Below are 21,723 nucleotides of genomic sequence, written 5' to 3'. Positions count from 1 at the left end.
AAAGGGGCATTTGTCCCTGTAGCTATACTATATTTAAGCCACTGATCAGGTACCAAAATGTTATTATTTAGTATTAAGCTGCCCAGTGGCAGGAAAAACTGTAATGCCTTAGAATCTCAGAAAAATCACTGTTTTCACCCAATAGAAGCAGTTCTTAATAAACAAAATTCTCACCAAACCACTTCACAAGATATTATAGTAAACACATCAGACCAACACCTCAAGAGAGAAAAGTAAAACTGAATTAAAATCACCTGTCTGTTTACAAACTCTTCTTAAAATTTGCGAATTTCATAAGAAGTTTATACCAATTTCTCATAAAAAATAAACCCTCATTAATCTGGATAATTCTAAAGAATTTATTAATAAAAACCAAATGAAAGCATGAGTAACATAAGCTCTTAAAAGACCAAGATTTTTCATCAGTGACATTTTCAACAAGTACATGATTTCATATTTATGGGTGCTTCTAGCAGAGTGATGGGCACATGAGTCTTGAACTCTAAAGTACCTCCTGCCACTTGCTGTTACATATTCTAAATACATTCTCCATAAATTGATTAGACTATTTGCCTAGTCTATAAAGGTGAATTAGTCTTTGAAGTACTTTTTTAAAAACTTGCAGCTCAAATTCAAATATTATTAATTCAAAAGGAAACAATTATATCGTATAAATCTATATCATAGTATGAAATCTTACTCTTATGTAGAGAAGAGTCTAAGTAAATTGTTTCCAGAATTAAAGAGTAATTCCTGATGTATAAGGTACTAATAAAACACTTTACTAATAATTATAGAATTTTAACATTTGATTTTCATTAATGTTACTTTTGCAGATGGAAGAAAAACAATATTAATATATTACAATTAATCTTAGGCAAAAGCCATTTATTTGCAATTCTTAATGTCCAGCTTAAACCAAAATTCCATGATAAATTAGATTACATTAGATGGGGCACATGGCTACTTAGCAACTGATGGACAGTGGAAATGCTTTTTTGTTATTTTATTTCAGTATTTCTCATTGAAGTATTAAGTCTCATATATATATATGTATATATAGATATATATGAGACTCATATATTTTCTTTTCTTTTTTTTTTTTTTTTTTTTTACATGGAGTCTTGCTGTGTCGCCAAGGCTGCGGTGCAATGGTGCAATTTCAGCTCACTGCAATCTATGCCTCCTCGGTTCAAGCGATTCTTCTGCCTCAGCCTCCTGAGTAGCTGGGATTATAGGCACCCACCATTATGCTTGGCTAATTTTTGTATTTTTAGTAGAGATGGGGTTTCACCATGTTAGCCAGGCTGGTCTTGAACTCCTGACTTCATGTGATCCGCCCGCCTCGGCCTCCCAGGGTGCTGGGATTACAGGTGTGAGCCACCGTGCCCAGCCAAGTCTCAGATATATTTAATACATGGTGTTTTCTATGTCTCACATACCCAAATGCAAAGGATGATACAATTGAATGCACAATTTTCTTAATCTTGCTGCTGCAAAAAGAAGTAAAAATAAAATTAATCAGATTTCTTCTAACATATATTGTAAATTTAACCAAAAAACAAAGGCCCTTATAAATATAATTTCAAAAGAAAATTATTCAGAAGTTGTATAACAAAATGCTTTTTACTAATAGCTAAAATTTTATTCTTCCTGCTCCATGAGTATTTTACTTGTTTACTATGCTATCCAGAAGACAGTAAAGTTTGGATGTTTAGTAACATTTCCATTGCATGCAAAGCCCCAACCCCAACTTTATGGCAATACTAAACTTAAACTGGTGGTCATCATCTCAAGGAGTATAGCATGAAGACAGAAAAGGGTGGTAGAAGAGAACTGTATTTTAATGCCAGCCTGGGCAAATCATCAAACTTTGGCCAGATCTCAGTTTCCACTGCAATAAAATAAGGTGTTTCAGGAATGAGCATAGGGAGTAAATGATGCTCTTGTCATCTCCTCGAACTAGACACCTAGTGAACAGATGAGTCACATATGAGGTTGCAAACGAACTTCAGAGGTAAGACATTTTAGTAAGATATACTTCAAAGGAGAAACACCCGAAAGACTGGGCTCCTTCCATTAATCAAAGGAAGGAGAACCTGTTTGATGGAGCCTCCAATAATGCCTCATTTTACCTTATGGCTGGAGACAAGGTAGCTCATGAGGAACAATTTTTTTTGTCCTACTGAAGCCTCCTGTGTTGGAGGCTCTTCAGGAGGAGAAGCCTCCAACACAGGAGGCTTCAGTAGAAGAAGACTTCAGGAAGTTTCTGTCATACTGAAGCCTCCAACACAGGACTCAAATTCCACCCCAAGAGCCATGAATCCTAAGACAATGCTCACAGCCTGTGCCTAAGACGGGAGAACAAAGAGGGCAGATACTGAGCAGAACTGGGGCACTGACAATTGGCCTTTGACATGAACAGACATTTCTCAAAAGAAGACATGCATGTGGCCAACAAACATATGAAGAAAAGCTCAATATCACAGATTAGAGAAATGCAAATCAAAACCACAATGAGATACCATTTCACACCAGTCAGAATGGCTATTACTAAAAAGTCAAAAAATAACAGATGCGGGCAAGGTTGCAGAGAAAAGGGAACACATATACATTGTTGGTGGGAGTGTAAATTAGTTCAATCACTGTAAAAAGTACTATGGCAATACCTTGAAGAGCTAAAAGCAGAACTATTTGACTGAGCAATCCCAATACTGAGTAGATACCCAGAGGAATATAAATCATTCTACTATAAAGATACATGCATATGAATGTTCACTGCAGCACTATTTACAATAGCAAAGACATGGAATCAACCTAGGTACCCATCAATGACAGATTGGATAAAGAAAATGTGGTACATATATACCATGGAATACTATACAGCCATAAAAAAAGAATGAGATCATGTATTTTGTGGGAACATCAATGGAGCCGGAGGCTCTTATCCTTAGCAAACTAGTGCAGAAACAGAAAACCAAATACTGAATGTTCTCACCTATCAGTGGTAGCTAAATCATAAGGACTTATGAACACAAAGAAGGAAATAGACACTGGGGTCTACTTAAGTGGGGAGGGCAGGAGGAGAGAGAGGAGCAGAAAAGATAACTATTTGGGTACTGAGCTTAATACCTGGATGATGAAATAATATGTAAAAAATAAAAAAAAACAACCTCCCTGACACAAGTTTACCTATGTAGCAAACCTCACGTGTACCACCAAACCTAAAATAAAAGTTAAAAAAAAAAAAATTGGCCTTTGATGAAGGATGTTAGGTTAACCTGAGATAAAAGAAATCCCCAATCCTTCTAATCTTCCCCTCTCCACCTGGACCCACCACCTCCACCCAGGCTTGGAGAGTTAAGGCTGATGTAGATGGAGGATCAATTGGCCAAAAGAGGTGAATTCTCTCCTCAAGTTGCCATTCCCTTACTACAAGAACCTCTGATCCCACACAGTCTACTAGATCTCTGGGTATCAAGGAAATGTCATAAATCTGAACTCACTTGACAATGTCACCATACAGAACCAAGTCTGACAGATTATGAAGGCATGAAGAAGTGGCTTGGGTGGCTTTAGCCCCTTAATCTGTTTCAGTGTACCCTGAAACTATACCAAGTAAATACACAATTGAGACTTTTTTGCTTAAAAAAAGAGTACTATGTAAATGAAGCTTCAAGCAGTTATGTGCAGAGTTTGCAGGGAAATAACTATGACTCAGTAAATCCATATCCAGGAAAAGTACTGTTCACACTCGGGAGCAACAGACAGACACTCCAACATGAAGCAACACGAAGCATAGCCTCCATGTACCTTTCCTAAAAACAATTACTCAAAGTGCTTGAGTCAGCTGAGCAATGAATCAAAATGAAGAACAAAAATGTAGCAGGTGAACAAAAGCAATGGCAACAAAAGCCAAAATTGACAAACAGGATCTAATTAAACTAAAGAGCTTCTGCATAGCAAAAGAAACTACCATCAGAGTGAACAGGCAACCTACGGAATGGGAGAAAATTTTTGGAATCTACTCATCTGACAAAGGACTAATATCCAGAATCTACAAAGAACTCAAACAAATTTACAAGAAAAAAATCAAACAACCCCATCAAAAAGTGGGCAAAGGATATGAACAGACACTTCTCAAAAGAAGACATTTATGCAGCCAACAGACACATGAAAAAATGCTCATCATCACTGGCCATCAGAGAAATGCAAATCAAAACCACAATGACATACCATCTCACACCAGTTAGAATGGTGATTATTAAAAAGTCAAGAAACAACAGGTGCTGGAGAGGATGTGGAGAAACTGAACACTTTTACACTGTTGGTGGGACTGTAAACTAGTTCAACCATTGTGGAAGACAGTGTGGCGATTCCTCAAGAATCTAAAACTAGAAACACCATTTGACCCAGCCATCCTATTACTGGGTATATACCCAAAGGATTATAAATCATGCTGCTATAAAGACACATGCACACGTATGTTTATTGCGGCACTATTCACAATAGCAAAGACTTGGAACCAACCCAAATGTCCAACAATGATAGACTGGATGAAGAAAATGTGGCACATATACACCATGGAATACTAAGCAGCCATAAAAAAGGATGAGTTCATGTCCTTTGTAGGGACATGGATGAAGCTGGAAACCATCATTCTCAGCAAGCTACCGCAAGGTCAGAAAACCAAACACTGCATGTTCTCACTCATAGGTGGGAATTGAACAATGAGAACCCTTGGACACAGGAAGGGGAACATCACACACCAGGGCCTGTCATGGGGTGGGGGGATGGGGGAGGGATAGCATTAGGAGATACACCTAATGTAAATGATGAATTAATGGGTACAGCACACCAACATGGCACATGCATGAATATGTAACAAACCTGCACATTGTGCACATGCACCCTAGAACTTACAGTATAATAATAATAAAAAAAAGTAGCAGGTGAAAATGTAAATAAATGATTCTAAAAGTAAAGATAAATAATATAAAATCATGAATAATAGTATTGATTTGAATTTTTAGGCATTCTTACACTAGGATTCAAGGTGTGGAAGAAGATAGAAGTAAAGGCAGGTTGCATTTCTTATCTTTCACAGGTACGAGTCCAGTTTTATTCTCGATATTGATGGAAAAAATGGTATAATTATGTTTTCTAAACATTTAAATATAAACATTGATAGACTAGAAATGGGCTTCTGACTTGCATATCAACAAAAAATGCAAGGGATGAAAACAAATCAGATAATAGCAAAACATAGACAAATTTACAAAGAAAATATCAAAGTATTTTTAATAAAGAAAAAGATGATAAATAAAACCAAACGTACCAGAAATCATAAATACAAACATATTACTCTCATATTGCATATTGAGAAATACTCTCAGATAACTTTGAAATTAAAGGCATTACATGCTATACATGAGAGACAAAAACTAAATTTAAATGACAATTCAAAAATAAAGAGATAGCGGCCAGGCGCGGTGGCTCACGCCTGTAATCCCAGCACTTTGGGTGGCCAAGGTGGGTGGATCATGAGGTCAAGAGATCGAGACCATCCTGGCCAACGTGGTGAAACTCCATCTCTACTAAAAATACAAAAAATTAGCTGGGCGTGGTGGTGCATGCCTGTAGTCCCAGCTACTCAGGAGGCTGAGGCAGGAGAATCGCTTGAACCTGGGAAGTGGAGGTTGCAGTGAGCTGAGTGGAGCCACTGCACTCCAGCCTGGTGACAGAGCGAGACTCCGGCTCAAAAAAAAAAGAGAGAAAAAAAGATATGAGATACTAAACCTTAATACACTGAAAGTTCCAATAATATCAAAGTTGAATTAAAAGCAGAAATATTAACTATGAACATGAATGACTCATTTTTTATCAATAGAAGGTGGAAGCTACATGACACTAACAAGACCATGTTTAATGAAATGGGATTTGTATTGAAGGCAGGTGCTATCTCTCCCACTGGACACATTTTTCTCTTGTGCAGACTCTGGGGGTAGGGAGGTGGCCATGATGCAAAGCACGAAAAACACTGTAGTGACTCTGGTCTTCCTGCTCACTCTAGATCACTAAAACAGGGTAAGGACAATACAGAGGGATGACATGTTCATGCTGAAAAAACTATGAGTCACTTAGGAGAAAAGTAAATTTCTACACTTTATACCTTAAGACAAAGTAAATTCAGGGCAGATATTTTATTTAAATGAAGAAAATAAATTCAAAACAGAAATTTTGGTGAATATATTTAAAATCTTGGGGTGAGAAGGACTTTCTGAGAATAACATTAAAGGCAAAATCACAAAGAAAAGTACAGATACATTTGATTACATGAGGATTAAATGCTTTTATATAGTGAAAAGCAAGACAACCTGGGAGAAATTGCTTATATTACATAAAATAGAAAAAGGATCAATAGATTTAACTTTTCAGTCCAAAGACAGAAAAGGATAAATGAAGGTGTGTCAAAGAACATGCATTAGAACAAATATATTTACTAATATCAGAGAAATCAATGATGGCTAGTGTTAAGTGTGGGAGGGGAGAAATGTACACTTTGCATCTTGATGTTAAAGCACATATCAATATCAATAGCGTCACAATCATTCCCTTTGACACAGAATTTCCACTTCTGAGAATTTATAACAAGCAAATAACCAACAATATACAGAGATTTAGCCTCAAATATATTCATTTTTGTAAGTTAAAAACTTGTAAAAAAACTGAATTGTTCAGCAATATCTGACTATTAAATGAATTATAGCACATCTACACCATGAAATATCACACAACTGTTACAAATAATGTTGTAAGTGCACATGAATATATATTAACAAAAAAATATAGCCATGATGTCATTAATAAGGTTATTTACAAAAGAATAAGTATGGTCTCATATCTGTAAACAAAAAAAGTATATGCTTAAAGAACTTAGAAGTGCATGCATCAAAGTTTAAGAATGACTAAATGTGGGTAGATTTGTTGATTGTATTTTCAGATTTTCCTTTAATGAACTCTTACATTATTTTTAGTTTTTAGAATAAAACCTATTTACAGAACTACAGAGTTTTCAAAGTATTTTTGCATGTTATTTTCATTTTATTACTAATTTTTTAAATACAATATCCAGTACATGGATTGCATTATAGCCAGTTTACATTTGAATAATCTGAAAGTTAAAGAGGGTTAGTGACTTGCTGAGTATCAGGTGAATGAATATATGATGCCAAAGGCAAGCACTGATTCCAGCTTTTACTATAAATCCAATATCATCCCCCTGTTATGAAACACCAGCATTTCTCACAGGGACTACTGCAAATTCCTCCTATATCTATGTAATGAGACTTTGTAATTTAAAAATAAAATAAAATGAAAACCTGCTTTATTTTGTTTGGAGTGGGGAAAGAAGGAAATGCTTGCCTTGCTTAATCGGTCTAATTTTGTTTCAGCCCTGGGCAGCTCCATTACAGAAAACGTATAGCTAATCTGCAGACACACAGTTTAATTCAGTGGCAAATTCAGGGTAATTTGAAGAACTATTTTTATTTGCCCTCTTTGTTTAGACACCAACAGCTTACAACCATGGTGAGTTAACTTCCTCTATGGCAGTACTTCCTCTCCAGCATTGACACAAGCTGGTGAATGGTTATACAACTGGGCAAGAAAGAAGCAGAAGAAAAATCTCCTGAATATGTCTGCAGTTCAGACACAAGCCAGTTTAAGAATGTATTGTTTCATTACAGTGAGTACATGATAAAATGCCTTCAGGTCAGTGCAACAGGAAGTACTCTAGTGAGATTAGAAACAAATAAGAATAAAATCCCAATGAGCATAAAGAGGTCTTTAGTCAGCAAAATATGTTTGCTTTTGCTATCAATACTATTTGCTCATAGGCAAAATGTACAAAATTGGGAATCACACCATATCTAGTAAAAATGAGAAACGTTCACTATTGATGAGTTAAGTAGCATTCTGCATTCCTGTTTTTTTAAAAAAAACTTTTAATGGAATTAATTTCCTCTAAGAATACTTTTTACATTTTCAAGCTAGAAGAACATTTATTTCTGAATGGATGGAATTTTTTTTTCAAAATAATACTTGTCTAAGAATTCAACTGGAGTAAATACGGTGTACACTCCCACCCATACATTTTGATATCTTTCCATAGTTTCCCTTTTTCCTTCTTGCCTCAGCGGAAGCCCTGTTTAACTAAAGATAAGAGATCCATCAATGGCTCCCTCCTTTCAAACTTCAAACTGACTTACTCATATGAAGCAACATTTTCAGCATCTTCAACTTCAAACTTGGAAAGTCGTGCTAACACACTTTAGCCACCAAAAAAAAAGCAAAAATATATCATTAGATATTTGCTACACAAAATAGTGATGAAAAATATATTTGAATAGCAAGAATCCCATGAATCTAAAGGATATAGTAAACATGACTTAGCTCACTGGAAGACCTAATATTTAAGAGAGAAAATTACAATCATTAACCAGAAACTCTTTCCTCATGGATACTCCCAACACTGAATTTTGCATATTTTTATCTTCTTTTCTCTCTCTGTCTCTTTCTATATATATGCATATAAAGATATATAAAAGAATATGTATATGGATATATAATATATAAATAATATGTGTGTAGACATATCTCAAAGACATTGTGGGTTTCATTCCAGACCACTGCAATAAAGCAAAAACTGCATTAAGCAACTCACACAAATGTTTTGGGTTCCCTGTGCATATAAAAGTTATGTTTACCCTACATGTAGCCTGTTAAGTTTGCAATGGCATTATGTTCGAAAAACTTATGTATATACCTTAATTAAAAACTACTTTATTGGTTAAAAAATGCTAATGATCACCTTTTGCTGGTGGAGGGCGTTGCCTCCATGTTCATGGCTGCTGACTGATCAGAGTGGTGGTTGCCAATGGTCAGAGTGGCTGAGACAATTTCTTAAAATAGGACAACAATGAAGTTTGCTGTAGCAAATGGCTCTTCCTTTCACAAGTGAGGATTAAGTGGTGAAGCCATCAGGTCCTGGACTTTGTTGAAAGCCTTTTTATTACTGATTCAATCTCATTACTTGTTTTTGGTCTGTTCAGGTTTTCTATTTCTTCTTGGTTTAGTCTTGGTAGGTCGTATGGGTCAAGGATTTTGTCCACCTCCTCTAGGTTTTCAAATTTATTGTAGAGTTGCTCATAATAGTCTCTAATAATTATTTTTATTTCTGTCATTATCTGTTATGAGGTCTCTTTTTTTTTGTTTCTGATTTTACTTATTTGGGTCTTCCCTTTTTCTTAATTAGTCTAGCTAATGGTTTGTTGATATTTTTTAAACCTTTTTGTTGTTAACCTTTTGTAATTTTTGCCTCAAATGTGTTTATTTCTGTTTGGTCTTCATTATTTATTTCCTTTTAATAATTTGGGGTTTGGTTTGTTCTTACTATTCTAGTTTCTTGAGGTAGAATTGTTCAGTGGTTTATTTGAAAGTTTTCTAGTTTTTTTGATCCAGGCATTTATTGCTAAAAATATACTTTTTTTTTTATACTTTAAGTTCTAGGGTACATATGCACAATGTGCAGGTTTGTTACATATGTATACATGTGCCATGTTGGTGTGCTGCGCCCATTAACTCGTCATTTACATTAGGTATATCTCCTAATGCTATCCCTCCCCCCTCCCCCTACCCAACAACAGGCCCCAGTGTGTGATGTCCCCCTTCCTGTGTCTGAGTGTTCTCATTGTTCAATTCCCACCTATGAGTGAGAACATGTGATGTTTGGTGTTTTGTCCTTGCGACAGTTTGCTGAAAAAATGATGAGTTCATGTCCTTTGTAGGGACACGGATGAAGCTAAAAACATAGTTCTTAATAACTGCTTTTGCTGCGTCCCCTGTTTTGGTATATTGTGTTTCTAGTTACATTTGTTTCAAGGAATTCTTAAATTTCATTCTTAATTTCTTTCTTCACTCACTGTAACTCAAGGGCATGTTGTTTAATTTCCATATGTCTGTATAGTTTTGAATGTTCCTCTTGTTATGAATGTCTAGTTTTATTCCATTGTGGTAAGATAAGATACCTGATAGAATTTCAATTTTTAAAAATTTGTTGAGACTTGTTTTGTAGCCTAACATATGGTCTATCTTAGATAATGTTTCATGTGCTGATGAAAAGAATGTGTATTCTGCAGCTGTTAGGTGAGATGTTCTGTACATGTTTGTTATTTATGTCCATTTGGTCTATGGTGGAGTTTAAGTCTGATGTTTCTTTGTTGATTTTCTGTCTAGATGATTTGTCCAATGCTGAGAGTGGGATACGGAAGTGCCCAACTCTTATTGTAATGGGGTCTATCTCCCTCTTTAGATCTAGTAATATTCGCTTTATATATCTAGGTGCTCTGGTGTTTGAGTGCATACATATTTACAATTATACACATATTACAATTATATTTCTTGCTGAATTGAACCCTTTATTATTACATAATAATCTTGTTTGTCAATTTTTATGGTTTTTAACTTGAACTCTGTTTTGTCTGATACAAGTATAGCTATCCCTGCTCACTTTGGGCTTCCATTTGCATAGAATATATTTTTCCATCCCTTTATTATCAGTCTATGTGTTTCTATACCGGTAAAGTGAGTTTCTTTTAGATAAAATATAGTGGGGTCTTATTTTTTAATCCACTCAGTAAGTCTATATCCTTCATGGGGTATTTAATCTATTAACATTCAAAGTTATTATTGGTAGGTGAGGAGGTTTTGCATGTTTTCATGATGGTGGTTATCATCTTTTTACTTCCAGATGTAAGACTCCCTTGGGCATTTCTTGTAATGTTGGTCTAGTGGTGATGAATTATCTTGGTTTTTGTTTATCTATGACAGATTTTATGTCTTCTTCATTTGTAAAGGATAGCTGTGCTGGCTATAATATTCTTGGCTGAAAGATTTTTTTCTTTCAGAACTTCGAATGTATCATCCCATTCTCTTCTAGCCTAAGGTTTCCACTGGGAAATCAGCTGTTAGTCTAATGGGGATTCCATTATAAGTGTGTTACTTTTCTCTTGCTATTTTAAAAAATCTTTGTCTTTTGATTTTTCACAATTTGACTATAATGTCTGGGTTGAATGTATTTGGGGTTCTTTGATCTTCCTGGAACTAGATGTCTAGCTCTCCCTCAAGAGTTAGGAAGTTTTACGCTATTTTATTAAATATGTTTTCCTCATATTTTCTCTACTCTTTTCCTTCTGGAATGCCCATAATATGAATATTTGACCAAATTAATGGTGTCCCATAAATCCTGTAGGCTTTTTTCATTCTTTTTTATCCTTTTTTTGCCTGTCTGTGTTATTTCAAAAGACTTGTCTTCAAGTTCAGAAATTATTTCTTCTGCTTGTTCTTGTCTGTAAAGCCATTGATTGTATTTTTTCATTTCATCCATTGAACTGTTTAGCTCTTAGGGCTTCTGTTTGGTTATTTTTATGATATCTGTATCTTTACTGAATTTCTCTTTCACCTGATTTCATTGACTTGTCTATCTGTATTACCTTACATCTCACTGAGTTTCCTTAAGATTATTCTTTTTTCTGTCACATCATATGTTTATGATTAGGTTCTATTACTGGATAATTATTATTTCCCTTTGTAGGTGACATGTTTTCTTGCATTTTCATGGTTGCTGTGTTTCTAAATTGATTTCTACGCATCTGGTGAAAAAGTCACCTTTTCCAATTTTATGGAGTAAAATTGTATGAATTTATTTGTATGAATGGGTCTTGGATGTCAGTTCATTGGGGTATACCGGCCTTGGTTCTACATGGATGCAGTAAGTGTAGTCTCCATGTAGTTTATTCAGCTGTGATCCACACTAGTAACATTTGCAAGTTACTCAGTGGCCTAGGTTAAGGAAGTTTGTAGTGATGGTGGTGCAGCCTTGCCAGGGGTGGGCTCACTGGGCTGTTTCTCAGGGTAAGGGTGTGTGCAGGCATAGAGTGGGTCAGAAAACTTGGAGTATGGCTTTATGCCGCTGGCCATGGTGCCATCACTCTAGCCAGAAGCATGGGGATGCAGTTGCTCAACCAGGGCATGACTTCCAGATGTGCTTTGCAGGACAGTTTCTCAGGCCCAGGATGCAGGCACACAGCTGTTTGCCTGGCCTGGAAGCATGCACTCCAGGAGTGGCCTGAAGGGCTGTTTCCCATAACTGGTATGTGGGTACACAGCTGCTCATCTGGCCTGGGGCCAGTCTGCTGGGGGAAACTCATGGACCAAATATATAGGTGCATAGCTGCTAAGCTGGACTGAAGGTATCTTTGCCAGGGCTGGCCAAGAGGGGTGTTTCTCAGGCCTGGGATACAGTCAAATGACTTCTCAGCTGTCCTGGATATGTGTCTGCTGGGGGTAGTCCATAGAGCTATTCTAGCTCAGGATGTGTGCACACTGCTGCTCAGCTGGCCTGGGTGGTGCCTGCCAGGGGAAGCCCTGGGGACTACTTCTGTGAGCCAGGATGTGGACACGAGGCTGCTCGGCTGGCCTAAGGGCATGTCTTCTGGGAGTAGCCCATGGAGCTCTTTCTTAGGTCCAGGACATGGGCATTCATGGCTGATTGGCTGGTCTGGAGGTGCATCTGCTGGGAATGGATACAGGACTATTTCTCAGGCTCACCCAAGGTTGCACAGCTGCTTAGTTGGCCTGGGAGTGTTTCTGTGTGGGGTGGCCTAAAGGGCTGTTCCTCAAGCTGGGACACAGGTATATGGCTGCTTAGTTGGCCTGAGTAAGCTCCCAGGGTTGTTTCTCGGCCCTGAGACTTGGGCATACACAGTTGCTTGTCTCTCAGGTCTGAGATACAGGTGCAAGGCCCACTCGGTGGTGTGCCTGCTGGGGGCAGCCTGTGGGACTGTTTCTCAGGCCCTTATTAAAAGCAGAGGGCTACTGGGCACGCCAGGAGCATGTCTGTGGTTGATGGGGCCCGCAAGGCTGTTTCTCAGGTCCTGAGCATGGGCTCATAGTCACTCTGTTGACCTGTGGGTGTATCAGCTGCTCAGAGGCTTAGGGGCCTCTCCCACTTGGGAGAGGGCATGTAGTGGTTTGGCTGTCTTAAGAGTGAATTTACCCTGGATGGGACTGCAGATTATTCCTCTGTCTGGAAGTGTGGTGGTGGGGGTTGATTTCCCTGCTCTGCATTACTTGAGTTACAGCCAGTCCTGGGACCAACCTCCACACAGCTGGGATTGTGGCTTTAACCCACCCATGTGGGCTTGGTGTACTGAAGATAAAGCTCCAGTGCTGGAGAGGCACAGTGGCTACTGGCCCCCAGAGGAGGGCACACTCAAGAGATGACTCTGTTCTCCAGATGGTGCTGTGTTGCTGCAGCTTAAGCCTCTGGGGGTGGGAAGTCTTCACCTTGTACTCCTAGTCCAGGACATGCAGCTGTGTCAATTCTTGGCAATACTCCAAACTGGCCTGAGGGCTTGCAAAGACTGTGAGATTCTCCTGTTGTAAAGACTTTGTGTTTGTGATGGCAGTGGGGCTGGTGGGGATCTTCTGCCTACCTTCACCCTGCAATGAGAAGTCCCTCCTGTCTCTGGGCCAATTCAATCCAGATGGGGCAGAAGGGGCTGCACAGGCTGAGTGCTTCCATGCTGTGGCAACTTTCAGTCACCACAGATGTGTCTCCACTCCTTTGCTGCACTCCAGGACTATCCCTTTGATACTCTAATCAAATCTCAGATGTGTATTTCTTGCCTCGGTTCTTTCTTGTAGGGGAGATGAGCACCAGACATCTCTAGTCACCCATCTTGCTTGATTTAGCATAATTCGCACGGGCCCCAGGATTTTCAGAATAGTCAATGATTGTTGGCTTCAACTTAAAGTCACCAGCTTCATTAGCCCCTAACAAGAGAATTGGCCTGTGCTTTGAAGATTTGAAACCATGCGTTGACTTCTCCTCTCTAAATATAAAAGTCCTAGATGGCATCTTCTTCCAATAAAAGGCTATCTTGTCTACATTGAAAATGTGTTGTTTAGTTTGGCCACATTCATCAGTTATCTCACCTAGATCTTCTGGATAACTTGCTGCTGCTTCTGCATCGGCACTGGCTGTTTACCTTGCACTTTTATGTGATGGAGATGGCTTCTTTCCTTAAACCTCATGAACAAACCTTTTAGCGTCAAGCTTTTCTTCTGTAGCTTCCTTACCTCTCCCAGGCTTCACTGAATCAAAGAGAGTGAGGGCCTTGTCCTGGATTACGCTTTGGCTTAAGGGAATGCTGTGGCCGGTTTGATCCTTTATCCAGACCACTACAACATTCTCCATATTAGCAATCAGACTGTTTTGCTTTCTCAACATTTGTATGTTCACTGGAGTAGCAGTCTTAATTTTCTTCAAGAAGTTTTTTGACTTTTCTGTTTTGTTTTGTTTTTGTTTTTGTTTTACATTCACAACTTGGCTGAAGTGGTGCAAGAAGTCTAGCCTTCCTCACAATCATTTCTAGCTTTTGGTTTAAAGTGAGAGACATGTGACTCTTCCCTTCACTAGGACACTCAGAGACCATCATAGGCTTACTAAATGGCTTACTTTCAATATTGTTGTGTCTCAGGGAATAGGGAGGCCCAAGGAGAAGGAGAGAGATGGGGGAATGGCTAGTCAGTGGAGCAGTCACAACAAACATGTCATTGATTAGGCTTGTCATCTTAATATGGACATGGTTCGTGTTGCCCCAAAACAATTACAATAGTAACATCAAAGATCACTGATCACATATCACCATAACAGATATGATAATAAAAAGTTTGGAATACTGCAAGAATTATTAAAATGTGACAAGAGACACAAAGTGAGAACACGCTGTTGGAAAAATAAAACCAGGAGACTTGCTCAATGTAGGGTTGCTACAAACCTTCAGTTTACAAAAAAGTAATATCTGAGGGGCAATAAAATAAAGCACAATAAAACAAGATATACCTGCATATACACACACATATATGTATATATAAACTATATATGTGTATATATACATATATATGCTAAAGGATATATACATATATGTTTACATATATATACACAGATGCTCATATATATATTAAAGGATATATACATGACTACTGATGTTATTTGGGTTAGTGCTAAAGAATATATCTATATATAGATATGTATATATAGATATATATACACACATTTAAATATGCACATATGTAGACATGTATATAGATATGTGTATCTATATCTATATACACACAAATACATATTTATATATCTATATATATTACATATATAGCTAAAAGATATATCTGTATATATACACACACACACATATACATGTGTGTTATATGTGTGTGTGTGTGTGTAGATAGATCCTTTAGCACTGACCCAAATTAATAATGTCAGTAGTTTTCAATGACACCACCATTGAAAGGTGAGTTATATCAAATATATATCAAATTAGTGAAAGACTACTGATGTCATTTTATCCGGGCCAGTGCTAACGATTAAAAATGTACACTTCAGGTCAAGTGACTTCAGAGACATACTTTTCTGGTTGAAATTATGTACATTTGCTCTACATTTATAAACTGGCTGAATCCTCAAAATGTGTATGTCAATGATTTGGAATCTACTATTAATATATCATTTTTTCCTAGAAGAAAACCTTATATTATGTAAAGGTGCTCCTGGGCCTTAACAAACAAACTAATGAATCACAATTTAAGTGCAGTTCTGTATTACTTCATTTGTGAATGAATTTTACCAATCTTAATATATGCCTCTCTTCTTTCTCTCCGTATTTTGAAATTTCACCCATCATTGATGACTCTACCACACATTACTCTTTTTAATTCAATGAGGTAATAGCTAAAGGATTAAAAATGAACATAGCAAGACTCCACATGTTATCCTAGACTTAATTTTCTGACACAAATTAGCAATAATTATTCCACAATTTATAATCTAGTTCCCCTGAAAAACGGACATTAATCAGTTATTTATTTGAAACATGGTATTTAATTTTTCTCTGGAAACGAGGTTTTAGATGTTTGTAATGAAATTTTTCGGCCTGTGAAAAAAACTTAATGAATCAAGTTTATATACATTTCTTTACTCCTAAACCTAATCCCCAAGTTACTGTTTCTGGCAAAATTTACATAAAATCAACTTCAGTTTGTAAACACCCACCTTGCTCGCCCTTGTAATTTTCTGCCTTCTCATGTTCAAATACCTCCAGTAACTCTTCACCAATCATGGATGTCTTTCCTGCCCCTCAGATAGGGTTAAGTAACTACAGACCCAATGCAGGGCCTCCATACAATCTGATGGCTCATGACCGTAAACCCAGCAGTTTGGGAGGCTGAGGCGGGTGGATCACGAGGGCAGGAGTTCAAGACCAGCCTGGCCAATATAGTGAAACCCCGCCCCTACCAAAAATACAAAAAATTTGTCTGGCATGGTGGCACATGACTGCAGTCCCAGCTACTCAGGAGGCTGAGGCAGGAAAATCACTTGAACCCGGGAGATGGAGGTTACAGTGAGCCGAGATCACGCCACTGCACGCCAGCTTGGGCAACAGCGAGACTTCATCTCAAAAAATACAATAATAATAGAAATACATTTTAATTCGCCCATGCCTCCAACGTCCTATAAAATAAATTCTTTTAAAAATTTATTTATTGGCTTAAAAATCAATACTACATACAAAACTCACATGCTATTGCTTAATGAGCAACTACAGAATTCTCACCTAGATGTTTCCTTAATCAGCCACTGATTAAACACAATCCTTTTATTCCTTCTGTAAAATCTCATTTTGCAAGGTTTCTTGAGCATTACACTATAATTAACTTGAATCAGGTTTTCCATATTACTTACACCTTTATGATTTATTTCCAGGAGAGGTTTTCACATGACTGGGAAAACCCTCCACCACCTCCTTCCTTTCACTGATCATGCTAGTCTCTCCTGCCCATGAGACACAGTGAAGTACCCGCACACCTGAGGAAAGCGGCATCCAATGAGGTGGTGGGTTTGGGCTGGGTCTAGGCACCAACCTCACATGTGGACAGAGCTCTCGAGTGTGTGGGACAAGTCCATGTTCCATTAGCTCCATTCTTTTTTTCCCAGGGCTTCACTACTCCTTATTGGCTGCTATCTCCTCCATGTTGCAAATAGGATTCTCTCCTTTCTTGGAACACTATGGTAGGGTCTCAAACTCAGGAAACCTGAATCCCTTAAAAAATTGCCTACCAGAAATTGAGGGTGACAAATACACTAACAGGAAGAAGCAGCTCTCCTACGAACTGACCTCCTTATACAACTCCATCAAAAAAAGGTGCAAAGTTATCTACAAATGCTACAATGAGAAGAATTGGAAACCCTGTTAAAAAACACTCTGTATGGCCATGCAGGCTCCTGAGAGTAAATTCCACAAATGTCCATCTGTCTCCGTGTTTTGTGTTTCCATTTTGTGCATGGGTTTGTTTGTGTAAATGTGTTGACAAAAGTGTGTATGGATGAAGATGGATGGATATATTTGTGTATGTGCTTGGTGTGTGTATAGCTCTATGCACTCTTATGCATACGTGTGTCTTCATGTATTTATAACTCACCTTTCACTGATAGGTGACACCCGGGCTGCTCCTTTAAATTCACTTGTGTGTGGGCTAGAGGATGATAAAAGAATACAGTCAGCAGCACTTTGGGAGGCCGAGGCGGGTGGATCATGAGGTCAGGAGATTGAGACCATCCTGGCTAACAAGGTGAAACCCCGTCTCTACTAAAAATACAAAAAAAAATTAGCTGGGCGCGGTGGCGGGCGCCTGTAGTCCCAGCTACTCGGGAGGCTGAGGCAGGAGAATGGCGTGAACCCGGGAAGCAGAGCTTGCAGTGAGCCGAGATTGCGCCACTGCAGTCCGCAGTCCGGCCTGGGCGACAGAGCGAGACTCCGTCTCAAAAAAAAAAAAAAAAAAAAAAAAAAGAATACAGTCAGATAGGAGACGCGATTCTAAATTTACTTTTTTGGAAAATTAGCTTTTATTACTCTAGACAGAAACCAATGAATTCCTATCAGAAATCTGAGTCCCATAAAAAAACTGCTTAGTAGGAACTAAGGGTGGCAAATACATTACAGGAAGAAGCAAATCTCCTACGACCTGCTCCTTTTTATAGAGCTCCACCAAAGAAGGATGCAAAGTTACTAACAAATGCTACAATGAGACGAATTGGAAACTCTGTTAAAAAAAAAAAATCTCTATGGCCATGCAGGCTCCTGAGAGTAAATTCCACAAATGTCCACCAGTCTCCTTTCTCTTTGGTCTATGTTTCCATCATGTGCATGGATTAGTTTGTGTAAGTGTGTTGAAGAGACGTGTGGATGGATGGATGAATGGATGGATGGATGAATGGATGGATGGATGGATGGATGGATGAATGGATGGATGGATGGATGGATGGATGGATGGGGTATACTTGCTCATGTGCCTGTGTGTGTATAGTTCTATGCACACTTATGCTGACGGGTGACTTTAACTATTTATTGCTCACCTTTCTTTCGCAGGTGCCTCCTCGGTTGCTCCTTTAAATTCACTTGTCTGTGGACTAGTGGATGATAAGAGAAAACAGTCAGAGAGGAGACATAATTCTGAATTTATATTTTGGAAAAATTACCTTTCATTACTCTAGACAGAAACCAATTAATTTCTGACTATTCATGTGTATAGTACTACTGGAACCTGGAATGTCTTTTCCTCTTTATTAGCAATGAGGATTTATATGGCGACAACCAAAATCTTAGGCGGGGGAAAATAGTAATGCTTCCCGATTTAAGTAAACCTCTTTATTATGACCTCAGTCCCAATGTGTGACAGACTTTGTGGTGGTAGTTATTTCAAACTCAACTCCAATTTGTAGGTAGTCAGCCCTCTTATTCCATTCAATGTCCTGCTTAAAAGGCCCTCCATTAGCTCCTTATGTTCACCCAGCATGGTGGTTTCTCATGTCCCACAAAAAGGGTCAGGTAACTAGAGGTCTGACACAGGGGCACAATCCAATAGGATGGTGATTTTAGGTTTGGAGCACCAGCCTCTGTGGTGGCAGGGTTCTGGAGGGTGGTGAACACCTCCAAGGCTCATAGCTCTGTTGCTTTCTGCTGAAGGCTTCACAGTTCCCCAAGTACTCCTACCTCCTCCTCACTCCAAACAGGATTCTCTCTTCCCTGGGCCTACTCTGGTATGTCTGGTACACAGAAAATCTGCTTTTCCAAAGCATTTGCCTGCTACTTACTAAGGGTGACAAGACAGTAACAGATGGAAGCCTCTCTCTCTAGTCAGTTTCTTTTTTTCTAAACAATGTAAAAATGTGGAAGTTATCTATACATGATACAGGGAGATGATAAAGAACCTGTGTCAAAGAAACACTGTATTATCAGGAACACATCTGAGAGTTAATCCCACTAATCTCGGTCTCTTTCTCTGTCACTGTTTTGTGTGTGTGTGTGTGCATCTTTTTTTTTTTTCATTTTTGCAACAGTTTCGCTCCTGCTGCCCAGGGTGGAATGCAGCGGCATGTTCTCAGCTCACTGCAAACTCCACTTCCCCAGGTTCAATCGATTCTCCTGCCTCAGTCTCCTGAGTAGCTGGGATTAGAGGCACCTGCCACCACACCTGGCTAGTTCTTGTAGTTTTAGTAGAGACAGGGTTTCACGATGTTTGCCAGCCTGGTCTCGAACACCCGACCTCAGGGTATCGGCCTGCTTCAGCCTCCCAAAGTGCTCAGATTACAGGTGTGAACCATTGCACCTGGTCATGTGTACATCTTTTATAACTCACCTGTCATTGGGGCCGAGCTCAATGATGACTCCCGCCAGGTCAGTCGGATCAGGACTAAAGGACAAATATGGTCAGAGTCAGACCCAATGCGTAATTCTAATGTTTTGCAACAAATAGCTACAGTTAGTCTATGTGTCATTCCCCAGTTACACTTTTATTATTCACATGTATGTATATCACTAAATTGACCTGGGATGGCATTTGTCTTTTTATTAGAAATGAGGTTTCATATGCCAACAGTGAGCATTTTAGGCTGTGACCATAGCGATGCATGCAGATTAAGTAAGGGTATCTACACCTCAAGGTGTAACAGCATTTTTGGAGAGCATTTAATTCTAGTTCAAATTTAGTTCCTGAGTCTCCCTTCTTATAATCCCATTTGAGTTCCTCATTCTCTATCACCTCCAATCACCTCCTCACTTTTCACCCATCCTAGTTGTCTCTCCTGCCCAAGAGTTGCGGCCAAGTAGCTGGAGGCCTCAAGCAAGGGCTCCATCCCATGTGAGAGTGGGTATGGGCAAAGGCAGTCAGCCTCACATAACGGTAGAGCTCTGGAGGGGGTGAAATAATTCCAGGGTTATTAGCTCTGTTCTTTGTTTTGGCTGGGATTTCTCTGATCTTTGTCCACTCCTATCTCCTTCTCCCTGCAAGCAGGATTCGCTTCTCCCTTGGTTCATGCTACTAGGAAAGTCTCATTCTCACAGAAAGGTAATGTGACAAACACTAACATAAAAAGCCTCCCTCTATGAGTTCCTCCCCATTTTCCTACCTCCATCCAAAAAACAAAACAATATTGCATACAAAGCTCATTCTGAGAGGACTCTAGAAATAGTTTCAAGGGAACTCCTTGTTCCCATGGATGCCTGTCACACTCAATAGCCCTACTCAGTCTCTCTTGTGTGTACGAATGCATGTATGTATGTGTTTGTATATGCATAGACACATGTATAACTGTATTCCTTGGTATCACATGGTGCATTGGCCAGCCTACTAGAAGGTACTCTCAATTCACACACAGGGCCGTGCCAAAGAAGTTAACATGTACATACTAAGACAACATGTAACTTCCTAGACTTAAGGTTTTCAGTTCAAAATAATTCCAATTGCTTTTGTTTTGGTTTTTTGTTTTTGTTTGTTGTTGTTGTTTTTGGTTTTTTGAGACAGAGTCTCACTCAGTCACCCAAGCTGGAGTGCAGTGGCATGATCTCGGCTCACTGCAACCTCTGCCTCCCGGGTTCAAGCAATTCTCCTGCCTCAGCCTCCCGAGTAGCAGGGACTACAGGTGCCTGCCACCACACCCGGTTAATTTTGTATTTTTAGTAGAGATGGGGTTTCACCATGTTGGCCAGGCTGGCCTTGAACTACTGATCTCGTTATCCACCCGCCCTGGCCTCCCAAAGTGCTAGGACTACAGGCCTGAGCCACCGCACCCGACCTTCCAACTACTTTTCAACCTGTAAATTGCCTTACCCTTAGAGAAGTCATGTGTGTATTTGGTTCTTTGGAATCTGCCATGCCATTTACCCTACACATCATACTTTATATGATTGCAGCACATCTATCTAAGACTCACTGACTCAAGAGTTCACCAAAACTCTGTACCACTGGAGCTGGCCAATGCACGACAGACAGCCTTTTGTGGGTGAATTTCTTTTAAATTCAACTCCACTGGGTAGGCATTCCTCCTCCTAATCCCATCTATGGCCCACTTCCTGGATCTCTCCGTCAAGTCTTTCCTTTCACCCATCATGCTAGTCTTTCCTGTCCATGGGACACAGGCAAGTAGCTGTGGGCCTAAGGAACGGCTGCATCCAATGAGGTGGTGTGCTTGTGTTTATGTTTTAGCACCAACCTCATATGTTGACAGAGCTCTGGAGTGTGAGGGACAAGTCCATGTTCCAT

At 39.0% G+C, this 21,723-nt stretch overlaps 1 protein-coding gene across 4 annotated transcripts in view; it reads right to left on the bottom strand.

Moving 5' to 3' along the window:
• The window catches only part of TPTE (transmembrane phosphatase with tensin homology), an 84,134-nt gene that overhangs the window by 44,730 nt on the left and 17,681 nt on the right, over positions 1-21,723 (bottom strand). The window contains exons 5-9 of one of the 4 annotated variants that reach the window (NM_199261.4): positions 19,822-19,875; positions 18,539-18,592; positions 17,605-17,658; positions 8,271-8,330; positions 1,443-1,493 (exon numbers count right to left, since the gene is read on the bottom strand). In NM_199261.4, coding sequence (NP_954870.3) covers positions 1,443-1,493; positions 8,271-8,330; positions 17,605-17,658; positions 18,539-18,592; positions 19,822-19,875 — 273 coding nt within the window. The remainder of the gene's footprint in view (positions 1-1,442; positions 1,494-8,270; positions 8,331-17,604; positions 17,659-18,538; positions 18,593-19,821; positions 19,876-21,723) is intronic. The other 3 variants (NM_199259.4, NM_199260.4, NM_001290224.2) reach the window with 3 other exon arrangements.

The sequence above is a fragment of the Homo sapiens genome, chromosome 21 (genome assembly GCF_000001405.40).
Source record: "Homo sapiens chromosome 21, GRCh38.p14 Primary Assembly".
Classification (NCBI taxonomy): domain Eukaryota; kingdom Metazoa; phylum Chordata; class Mammalia; order Primates; family Hominidae; genus Homo; species Homo sapiens.
The sequence above is the reverse complement of the archived record's forward strand: the minus strand, read 5'-3'. Positions and strand labels throughout refer to the sequence as shown.